At 45.2% G+C, this 12050-nt stretch overlaps 1 protein-coding gene across 6 annotated transcripts in view; it reads right to left on the reverse strand.

Annotated features, from left to right (window-relative positions):
• Nucleotides 1-12050, reverse strand: part of ADGRE3 (adhesion G protein-coupled receptor E3) — a 74728-nt gene that overhangs the window by 53303 nt on the left and 9375 nt on the right. For 4 of the 6 annotated variants that reach the window (XR_001753772.2, XM_011528374.3, XM_047439546.1 and 1 more), the window contains 4 exons: nucleotides 9999-10121; nucleotides 8544-8699; nucleotides 5094-5131; nucleotides 1563-1746 (listed from right to left, as the gene is read on the reverse strand). Coding sequence is in view for 5 of the 6 variants with exons in the window: in XM_011528374.3 (XP_011526676.1) it covers nucleotides 1563-1746; nucleotides 5094-5131; nucleotides 8544-8699; nucleotides 9999-10121 (501 nt within the window). In the remaining variant the exon portion in view is untranslated. The remainder of the gene's footprint in view (nucleotides 1-1562; nucleotides 1747-5093; nucleotides 5132-8543; nucleotides 8700-9998; nucleotides 10122-12050) is intronic. The other 2 variants (NM_001289158.2, NM_001289159.2) reach the window with 2 other exon arrangements.

A 12050-nucleotide genomic window follows, 5' to 3' on the forward strand; every position in this document is an offset into this window, starting at 1 on the left:
TTGACAATATTTCATAATATTAAAGAGTGGAAAGATAGAATAATCATAATTATAGCAATTACTACCGTAGTTTTTCTTCTTTCTTAAAAGTTTGAGTCGTTTAGCTTCTGAGGGATCCTAGTCCTAGGTGCATTACATGCACTTTCATTATCTCTATTAAAATTTTTTTTTGAGACAGGCTCTCACTCTGTTGTCCAGGCTGGAGTGCAGTGGTGCAATCTCAGCTCACTGCAGCCTCGAACTCCTGGGCTCAAGCGATCCTCCCACCTCAGCCTCCTAAGTAGCTGGGACCTCATTTGCACACCACCATGTCCAGCTAATATTATCCTCATTTTATTGACAGGAGAATGAAGCCCAATGAGGTGAGGGCACTGGTCTCAGATCAAACAGTTAGGACGTGGCAAAATCAGGAGAGATGAGATTTACTTGCAATCTGGAAAATGGTTTAATTTTGAACCAAAGTATCCAGATTCCAGTTTTCCAAGAAGAATAGGCACTGACTTTTTCAAAGCCTGCTGTGTGTGTGTTTTTTTTTTTTTTTTTTTTAATTTAAGATGGAGTCTTGCTCTGTCACCCAGGCTGGAGTGCAGTGATGTGATCTCGGCTCACTGCAACCTCTGCCTCCCCAGTTCAAGTGATTCTCCCACCTCAGCCTCTGGAGTAGCTGGGATTACAGTCATGAGCTACCACGCCCCGCTAATTTCTGTATTTTTAGTAAAGATTAAGTTTCACCATGTTGCCCAGGCTGATCTCAAACTACTGGCCTCAAGTGATCCACCCACCTTGGCCTCCCAAAGTGCTGGGATTATAGGTGTAAGCCACCATGCCCAGCCCAAAACCTGTTTTTTTTTTTTTTTTAATGAGACAGGTTCTTGTTCTGTCATCCAGGTTGGAGTGGCAATGGCATGATCATAGTTCACTGCACCCTCAAACTCCTGGACTCAAGCCATCCTCTCCCTCAGCCTCCCAAGTAGCTGAGACCACAGGTACAAGCCACTGCACCTGGCAAATTTTAAATTTTTTTTAAAGAGATGGGGGTCTTGCTATGTTGCCCAGGCCAGTCTTGAGCTCCTGGGCTGAATTAACCCTCCCGCCTCAGCCTCCCAAAGTGCTGGGAATACAGTCGTGAGCCATCATGCCTGGTCCTCAAACTACATTTAAGTGAAAATTCCAGACCTGGGATTGGAAACTATTGGCAATCTTCTGAATAAACAACTTTATTGAGGTATAATTGATGTCTAACCAACTGCACATATTAAAGTGTACAATCTGGTGAGTTTTGTTGGGTGCACACACCTCTGAAATCAACACCACAATCAAGGCAGGAAGATTTCCATCACCCCTAATAGTTTCCCCAGATTTTCTCATGCCTCTGCCACCCCTCCCTCCTGCCCCTCCCTGTCACTCTAGATAAGTTTGCGTTTTCTAGAATTTATATAAATTTTTGTAATTTACATAAAGGGACTCATGTGGTGTATTCAATTTTTTTTTTCTAATTGCCTAACCCAGATCCCAGCTGCTAACCAGTCCCCAGGGTGTATCAGTCCTCATTATTGTCTTACCTACACTATCGTTTTGGATTTTCAGGACTTTTTGTTCTGGATCTTTCAAGGCAGTTTCTAGAACTTTCGATTCCACATCCCGGAGAATAGTGGTAGCTGTGGATGAGATTTCTTGTCTCCCTTCTGTTCTCCATAAAGTCTGATTGGTGAGAAGTGACTCAAATTTGTCCACAATCTTTTGCAGCTTTGAAGACATAAAGAATTTTCATTTTTTAAAAATGTAATCTGGTAAGTCCCATATCCAAAAGAACAGTAGAAAGCATGAGAAAGCAGGCTCTGGAGCTGGAGGAACCACGTTCAAATCCTGGCACTTCATCATGTCCCAGCTTTGTGACCTTGGGCAAGTCACTCAATCACTCTGTGCCCCACGACAGGAAAAGGAACTCAAAGGGTTTTTCTGGAGGATTAAATGAGTTAACAGATGCTCTTCTTTTAGGACAGTGTCTGTATCTGGTAAAAGCTATGTAAGGGTGAGTCACTATTATTATTTTTGAGACAGAGTATTGCTCTGTCGCCCAGGCTAGAGTGCAGTGGTGGGATCTTGGCTCACTGCAACCTCCAGCTCCTGGGTTCAAGTGATTCTCATGCTTCAGTCTCCTGAGTAGCTGGGATTACAGGTGCACACCGCCATGCTTGCTTAATTTTTTTAATTTTTTTTTTTGTATAGACAGGGTCTTGCTATGTTGCCCAGGCTGGTCTGGAACTCCTGGGCTCAAACGATTCTCCTGCCTTGGCCTTCCAAAGTGATGGGATTATAGGAGTGAGCCACCGTGCCTGATTGGGTTAGTTATTATTAACGTTTTTTGCCAACAAGGTAGTGATAAGTTTGTTAGAAATAGACCAGTGGTTCTCAACGGGGGGGTGATTCTGCTACTCCCTCCACAGGGCACATGTGGCGATGGCTGGAGACATTTTCGGTTGTCACTGTCGCAACAAGGGAGTGGTTGCCACTATTGAAGCAGCGTCACTGTCTGGGGTAAATACCCAGAGTTTGTCATCTTGCGCCAAGATGAAGGACATGGACACACACGAGGAGTGAGTTTAGGAGTGGAGGTTTAATAGGCAAAAGAAAAAGAAAAGAGGGCAGGGTGCGGTGGCTCATGCCTGTAATCCCAGAACTTTGGAAGGCCGAGGGGGGTGGATCATCTGAGGTCAGGAGTTCAAGACCAGTCTGACCAACATGGTGAAACCCCATCTCTACTGAAAATACAAAATTAGCCGGGCATGGTGGCGCGTGCCTGTAATCCCAGCTAGTTGGGATGCTGAGGCAGGAGAATCGCTTGAACCTGGAAGGCAGAGGAGGCAGATGTTGTAGTGAGCCGAGATCACATCACTGCACTCCAGCCTGGGTGACAGAGTGAGACTCCATCTCAAAAAAAAAAAAAAAAGAAAAGAAAAAAAAAAAAGAAAGTAGAACAGCTCTCTCCCTTGCGAGAGAGAGGGATGCCCGAAAGAAAGCAAAATCCTGCCCACCGACTAGATTTTATATTCAGGCACTAGATTTTATAGTCAGGCTGAGGAGGCGGTGTCTGAATTATGTAGGGCCCACAGATTGGTTGGGCCAGGTGCGACATTTACTTACTGCTCGGGGAAGGCTGGTTGCCCTACCCACTTGGCCAGTACCATCTTGTCTGCTCCTTACTGTACACGTGACTGGCAAAGAGAAGGGAAGATGGAGCTGCCATTTTGATCATGTCTAGTCCCAGGCAGCCTTTTCCTATTGGCACAGCTGCTGGCATTGACCCATAAGCTTCCAGCTTGCTTGTCTATGTCCGCAGCTTGATTTTACAGGCTGCTCTTTGTTAGAAAAGAAAATTTGGGGCTGCTCTTCATTAAAAGGAAAACCTCACTGAGGACTTCCGTACCCTCACCATCTGCCTAAGTAATTTCTTCTTAACTCCTATATCATTGTGTATTTATTTATTTATTTTTGAGATGGAGTCTTACTCTGTTGCCCAGGCTGGAGTGCAGTGACGTGATCTCAGCTCACTGCAACCTCTGCCTCCTGGGTTCAAGTGATTCTCCTGCTTCAGCCTCCTGAGTAGCTGGGATTACAGGCATGCGCCCCCATGCCCGGCTAATTTTTGTGTTTTTTGTAGACATGGGGGTTTCATCATGTTGGCCAGGCTGGTCTTGAACTTCTGACCTCGGGTGATCCACCCACCTCCCAAAGTGCTGGGATTACAGGCATTAGCCGCCATGCCCGGCCTGATTACTTGATTCTTTATTTGTTCATTACTTCAGTGATCATTCCTTGAACTCCTAATTTGGGGTTGGTCTTATTCCCTTCCTCAAAAAGCTCACAGTCTAGGGATTGATTACATGATGTAATCACATATTTATATAAATGCCGTCAGTTGGCCGGAGACAATAATGGATACCATTGGATACTTGGATGTCTTTTGCAGCAGTGCAGCAGGCCTTAATATACTCTCTCTTGGCCTGTCTTTCTTGGTCTGGGATAGATTCCTGTCTTTAGATGGCAACACACACACGCTCATACACACACACTCACACACTGTCATATGTATGTACGTACATGCACACTGTGTGTGTCTATCTATACCTATATCTATATATATATATAAGTAGATACAGATACAGAGCCCTCTTGGTATACGCATGGCATTGGTTCCAGGATCGTCCATATATGCTCAAATCCAATCCATGCATACTCAAGACCCATGGAACTCACTCATGAAAAGTCAGTCCTTCCTCTTTGTGAGTTTTGCATCCTGCCTATATATACATATATATATATATATTTTTTTGTTTGTTTGTTTGTTTTGTTTTGTTTTTTGAGACGGAGTCTTGCTCTGTCACCCAGGCTGGAGTGCAGTGGCAACATCTCCACTCACCGCAACCTCCGCCTCCTGGATTCAAGTGATTCTCCTGCCTCAGCCTCTGGGGTTGCTGGGATTGCAGGCATGTGCCATCATACCTGGCTAATTTTTGTATTTTTTAGTAGAGATGAAGTTTCACCATGTTGGCCAGGCTGGTCTCGAACTCCTGACCTCAAGTAACATGCCTACCTCGGCCTCCCAAAGTGCTGGGATTACAGGCGTGAGCCACCACGCCAAGCCCGGCAATACTGTAGTTTTGATTCACATTTGGTTGAAAAATGTCCTCGTGTAAGTGGATCCCCGCAGTTCAAATGTGTGTTGTTCAACTGTATATATAGTGATATATCTATAGTGAGCTGGATAATGATACATATATAGTGGTATACCTAATGGTATATCTGTATCTATCTATCTATAGATATATGTATACATACCACAATTATGCATAATATATAATTGTATATAATATATGAATATGTACTATTGTGTAGTAATATGATATTATATGGTAATAATATATTATGTATTTATATATAACATATTCTTTGTCCTAAATAATACATTATATATGTATATATAATATATATTTTGCCCTAAATCCATCCCCATTTGCTCACTTTGGGCTTTGTAAATATTTGTTACTGATGTTTGTTACCTGGGAAGGGTCTGGGGATCAGCCTCCACTCACCTCTTTCCTGCCCTCGGTTGTCTTTGAGGAGGTGGTGTCTGCAAAAGACATCATGATGGAGTTACTATTGGAACTGAGAGTGACCAGGCAGAGGGGTGGGCAGGTGGGGTAAGTAATGGGGTGAGCAACTTTGCACCTAGAAGGTAAAAGCCTGAATTCATAGTCTTTATCTGCTGTTTGTTGATTTTTAAAAAATTTTAAATTTTATTTAAAAAATTTTTTATTTTTTATTTTTATTTTGAGACAGAGTCTCACTCTGTTGCCCAGGCTGGAGTGCAATGGTGCGACCTAGGCTCACTGCAACCTTCACCTCCTGGGTTCAAGTGATTCTCCTGCCTCAGCCTCCTGAGTAGCTGGGATTACAGGCACGCACCTCCAGGCATGGCTAATTTTTGTATTTTTAGTAGAGATGGGGTTTCACCACGTTGGCCAGGCTGATCTCAAACTCTTGACCTCATGATCCGCCTGCCTCGGCCTCCCAAAGGGCTGGGATTACAGGCATGAGCCATCGCACCTGGCTTTTTTTTTCCCTTTTTTTTTTTAGATAGGGTCTCATTCTGCTGCCTAGGCTGGAGTGCAGTGGCACAATCTTGGCTCACTGCAATCTCAATGTCCTGGGCTCAAGCAATCCTCCACCTCAGTCCCCCAAGTAGCTGGGACTGTAGGTGTGTACCACCAGACCTGGCTAAATTTTTTTTTTTTGTATTTTTTGTAGAGATGGGGTTTCGCCATGTTGGCCAGGCTGATCTCAAATTCCTGACCTCAGGCAATCCACCCGCCTTGGCCTCCTAAAATGCAAGGATTACAGGCGCGAGCCACCGTGCCTGGCCTCCAAATTCTTTTATTCCATCTTGACTGGAAATTAGAACTGAAATGTCCGAGAAAACAGAAAATTAGAAGCCTCTTGTGTTTAAAGTCAGCCTGGCTGGGAATGATAACCGAAACAGAAGCATCAGTGTCTGGTCATCAGCTGTTAATGAAGACTTTTGTGTTGGTTTCTGTGCTTAGTGAGGACATCTCTGCTTTAGAAATTTGAGGAAGGGTGCACCTGTAGTCCCAGCTGCTTGGGAGGCTGAGGCAGGAGGATCATATGAGCCTAGGCATTCGAGACCAGCCTGGCCAACATGGCAAAACCCTGTCTCTACTAAAAATACAAAAATTAGCTGGGCATGTTGGCGGGTGCCTGTAATCCCAGCTACTCGGGAGGCTGAGGCAGGAGAATCTCTTGAACCTAGGAGGCAAAGGTTGCAGTGAGCTGAAATGACACCACTGCACTCCAGCCTGGGAGACAGAGCGAGACTCTGCCTCTGAAAAAAAAAAAAAAAAAAAAAAAAAAGACAAGGAAAGTCTAGCAAATGTTTACATATCTTTTATCATCATGCTGAGGTTAAATCTGTACTTATTCTAAATTTTGGTTTTCAGCTCAGTCTATTTGCTTAAAAGCACAAACAGCTTTGTTTTAATACTGAACATTTTATCTTAAGAGTTCAAGAACTTTGACTTACAACCCTGAGTCTAGAATATGTTTGTTATAGGAAACCGTATTTATTGTAGAAAACTGCCCTTTTGAACCAAAGCTGCACACTTTATCATTGGGTGGGGGTGTCTGTTGCTTAGAGCTGCCAGCCTTGGTAATAACGAACCCCAAATGGGCTCAGTCTTTATAAAAGGACGGTGCAGACCTCTTAACATTAGGAAAACAACCAAAGGCATTTTCCTTTTTTGTAAAATAAGACAAGTTTAAGAGATTAACATCAGAACCCAGGTAGAATCACAGTCTGCTTCTACACTGTCAATAGAGGTGCGCATTGCTTAGTAAAAGACAGATTTATGGCTGAGTGCTGTGGCTTATGCCTATAATCCCAGCACTTTGGGAGGCCAAGGCAGAAGGATCGCTTGAGACCAGGAGTTTGAGATCAGCCTGGGCGACATAGTGAGAACCCCATCTCTACAAAAAATGAATAAATTAGCCAGGTATGGTGGCTCATACCTATAATCTCAGCCACTCAGGAGGCTGAGGTGGGAGGATTGAGCCTGGAAGTTCAAGGCTGCAGTGTGCAATGATTGTGCCACTGTACTCCAGCCTGGGTGACAGAGTGAGACCCCATCTCTTAAAAAAAAAAAAAGTTTCTCTCTTATTATCCCTACGGTAGTCAATACCTCATGGGTGGTCTACCAAGTCTCATCTCTTTTCTCATATAGACTTTCCCATCCATGTTTTCCATGGGAGTGGTCATGTTTACATGACACAGTATCTCTCCCTGGACACGGATCCACGGGTGCACATGGGGCTCAAACTGGGCCAATGTATTCATTCCCAAAGAATTTGCAATGGGGTCTCAGAGAGAGAGTCAACTGATCTCTCTTTGGTTGGTTGGGGCAAAAAAAATGGTAAGATCTGGAGCGGGTTGGTGGTCATATTTCCTTTTTTTTTTTTTTTTTTTTTTGAGACAGAGTTTCACTCTGTCACCCAGGCTGGGGTGCAGTGGCGGGATCTTGTCTCACTGCCACCTCTGCTTCCCAGGATCAAGCAATTCTTGTGCTTCACCCTCCTGAGAAGCTGGGATTACAGGCACCCGCCACCACACCCAGCTAATTTTTGTATTTTTAGTAGAAATGGGGTTTCGCCATGTTGGCCATGCTGGTCTTGAACTCCCGGTCTCGAGTGATCTACCCGCCTTGGCCTCCCAAAGTATTGGGATTACAGGCGTGAGCCACCCCTCCCAGCCGGTGGTCATATTTTCTGTCCTGTGGTCTAGGAAGCAGAGAAAGCCAGCCTGCAGTGAAAGAGAAGGAAGGAGCAGATCCAAAGATGATTAGAGACAGGGACTAGGAGATGCACCCTGGGGGTGTTGAGTTCCCAGTTTTAGTTAATTCCAGAAGCCCAGCTGCATTCCTGTCCTTGCAGGGCATGGCTACGCATCGTTTTCATAAACCCATTTTTTGGCCTGTTAGCCTGAGTGAGTTTCTCTTCCTTGCAATTCAAAGAATGTGGTCTCAATCACCACCTTGTCACATCCTCCATCTCCAAACTATAGTTCCCTTTCTCACCCCCTTATTTCCCTCAACTTGAACTTCCTTCTTTCCTTGTAGTTCCCTGCAGAAAATAAAAACCACATCCTGGTCCCACAACAAATACGTCTTTTCTGATGTTAGATTCAATAAAAAATGAGGAAGGACTGCCGCCTGTAAAAAGTCCCAGCACTTTGGGAGGATGAGGAGCGTGGATCAAGAAAAATTAGCTGGGCGTCGTGGTGCACGTCTGTAATCTCAGCTACTTGGGAGGCTGAGACAGGAGAATCGCTTGAGCCCGGGAGGCGGAGGTTTCAGCCACTGCACTCCAGCCTGGGCTACAGAGCGAGACTCTGTCTCAAAACAAAACAAAACAAAACAAACAAACAAAAAAACAACAACAGAGGAAGGAAGGCAGGAGGACAAAAATGTTCTTACCCTGACAGGTGTTCTCATTGGAATTACTGAATTGTTCATTCCCAGAATGCAGTCTATATCCTGGGACACATTGACAGTAGAAACTTCCTTCGACATTGTAACACACAGCGTTAAATCCACAATATACACTATAGGGTGGTGTACATTCATTAATGTCTGGAACACAAAGAAGCAATTGGGTCATTCATTCAGCAAAGATTTATTGAGCAGCTACTATGTGTCAGGAGTTGTGCTCTTTCCCCCATGGTCTGTCCTGGCTTTCCGAGACAAATCAGTTTAGGTAATGGTTATCTTGGTTTTTCGCTTTCTTCATTGACTTTGGTGGGGTTCTCCAGGAAGCAGACAATGAGACGAGAATATAAGTACTTTATTTGGGAGGGGATCCCAGGAAACACTGAGAGGGCAGTCGCGAAATGAAACAAGAAACTATCTTTTCTTTTTGAGACGGAGTCTTGCTCTGTCATCCATGCTGGAGTGCAATGGCAGGATCTGGGTTCACTGCAACTTCTGCCTCCTGAGTTCAAGCGATTCTCCTGCCTCAGCCTCCCGAGTAACTGGGATTGCAGGCATGCACCACCACGCCCGGCTGATTTTTGTATTTTTAGTAGACACGGGGTTTCACTATGTTGGCCAGGCTGGTCTCAAACTCCTGACCTCAGGTGATCCACCTGCCTTGGCTTCCCAAAGAACTGGGATTACAGGCGCGAGCCACCATGCCTGGCTGAAACAAGAAACTATCTTAAATGAACGGCCAAGTTTCCAAAACAGCCCCCATTTTGCCTCCCTTTTGCTCCTGCTTCTGGATAACTTGCAAATTATCCCTGGCCAGGTGCAGGGTTCACGCCTGTAATCCCAGCACTTTGGGAGGCCGAGGCGGGAGGATTGCTTGAGCTCAGGAGTTTGAGACCAGCCGGGACAATATAGTAACAATCCATCTCTACAAAAAAAAAAAAAAAAAAAAAAAAATTAGCTGGGCATGGTGGCACGCCTGTAGTTGCAGCCACTTGAGAGGCTTGATCCCAGGAGTTGGAGGCTGCAGTGAGTGTTTTTATTTATTTTGATCAGAGTCTCGATCTGTTGCCCAGGCTGGAGTGCAGTGGTGCAATCTCGGCTCACTGCAACCTCTGCCTCCCAGGTTCAAGCTATTCTCATGCCTCAGCCTCTTGAGTAGCTGAGATTATAAGCGCCCCACACCATGCCCGGCAAATTTTTGTATTTTTAGTAGAGATGGGGTTTTGTCATGTTGGCCAGACTGGTCTCGAACTCCTGACCTCAAGTGATCTGCCCACCTAGGCCTCCCCAAGTGCTGGGATTACAGGCTTGAGCAACTGTGTCCAGCTTGCGGTGAGCTTTGATCATGCCACAGCAGTCCAGCCTGGGCAACAGAGCAAGACCCTGTCTCTAATAATAATGATAATAAAATAATAATAATAAAAAATAATAATACTTCTTTACCGTTACATGTCTCCAAGGGGAATGTGAATAGTTTCTGCCCAGATCCAGAAGTATATCCATGGTTGCAGGTGCAGTGAGTGTTATTGACACAGGAAGCATTTGGGGGGCACTTAGCACAGGAAGCTGCAGGGAGAAGAGAGGCAGGTTAAATGGACTGGGGTCACAAACTCTCCTGTTATAATTAGGCCCTGCCTCTTGATCACCTGAGGTCAGGAGTTCAAGAGCAGCCTGGCCAACATACTGAAACCCCATTTCTACTAAAAATACCAAAAATAGCCAGGCGTGGTGGTGCATGCCTATAATCCTAGCTACTCAGGAGGCTGAGGCAGGAGAATTGTTTGAACCTGTGAGGCGGAGATTGCAGTGAGCCGAGATTGTGCCACTGCACTCCAGCCTGGGTGACAGAGGGAGACTCCATTTCAAAACAAATATATATATTTGTTACATAGGTATACACGTGCCACGTTGGTTTGCTGCACCCATTTACATTAGGTATTTCTCCTAATGCTATCCCTCCCCCAGCCCCCCACTCCCCTGACATATTATATATGTAAATAATAATAATAATGAGGCCTCGCCTCTGGGCAGGGCCTCTCAAGGCTGAGGAAGCCTGTGCCTTTTCCTCTTGTGAGATCTAAGCACGTTAAAAAATTAGAGTGGCCAGGCGTGGTGGCTCACTCCGCCTGGTGAGGATTTTCACATGGTGAAACCCCGTCTCTACTAAAAAATACAAAAATTAGCCGGGTGTGGTGGCAGGTGCCTGTAATTCCAGCACTTTGGGAGGCTGAGGCGGGTGGATCACCTGAGGTCAGGAGTTTGAGACCAGCCTGACCAACATGGTGAAACCCCATCTCTACTGAAAATACAAAATTAGCCAGGCGTAGTGGCACATGCCTGTAATCCCAGCTACTCAGGGGGCTGAGGCAGGAGAATGGCTTGAATCCGGGAGGTGGAGGTTGCAGTGAGCCGAGATCGCGCCATTGTGATCGCACCACGGTGAGAGGCATGGTGAGCACGCCTGTTGACATCTGTAATTCCAGTGCTTTGGGAGGCCCAGGTAGGAGGATTCCTTGAGGCTAGGAGTTGGAGAGCAGCCTGGGTAACATAGCAAGACACTATTGCTATAAAAAATAATTTAAAAATTAGCCAGTCATGGTGGCATGTGCCTGTAGTCCCAGCTACTCTGGAGGCTGAAGCGGGAGGATTGCTTGAGCCCAGGAGTTTGAGGCTGCAGTGAGTCGTGGTCATGTCATTACACTGCAGCCTCGGCGACAGAGTGAGGCTCTGTCTCTAAAACAAAAGGACAAAAAAATTTGAATTTGTATGGTACCATGGGAGGGAGATTCTGATCGTGGTATATGTTAAGGTATTTTTTCTTTAGGCTTCATTACTTATGAAAATGATAAATTCACAGAATTGAAAAAAAATCCAACAATAAGTCTCTTATTACCCCAGATTCTGAGCTGTCTACTGCTTATTGTATACTTTTCAGAAAAATACCAATCCATATACACACATATGTGCATCATTTTTCTTTACGTTATAGGAACATATTACACATACTGCTCTGTTCTTTGGTTTTCATGTAAAATTTTGCCTGAGAATTTTTTCCACAGCTTCACATGTGGAGCAACCTCATTTTTTTTTTTTTTTTTTTTTTTTTTGAGACAGAGTCTCGCTCTGTTGCCCAGGCCGGAGTGCAGTGGTGTGATATCGGCTCACTGCAAGCTCCGCCTCCTGGGTTCATGCCATTCTCCTGCCTCAGCCTCCTGAGTAGCTGGGACTAGAGGTGCCCGCCACCACGCCCGGCTAATTTTTGTATTTTTAGTAGAGGCGGGGGTTTCACGGTGTTAGCCAGGTTGGTCTTGATCTCCTGACCTCGTGATCCGCCTGCCTCGGCCTCTCAAAGTGCTGGGATTACAGGCGTGAGCTACTGCGCCCAGCTGCAACCTCATTATTTTAAAAGGCATTGCAGTATTCCATCCCGGGGATGGACAGTCCCAAATATGCTACTGAAACAAGGGTGCAATTGACCGTGCACGCAAGTCTTAA

This window comes from Homo sapiens, chromosome 19 (assembly GCF_000001405.40).
Source record: "Homo sapiens chromosome 19, GRCh38.p14 Primary Assembly".
Classification (NCBI taxonomy): Eukaryota; Metazoa; Chordata; class Mammalia; order Primates; family Hominidae; genus Homo; species Homo sapiens.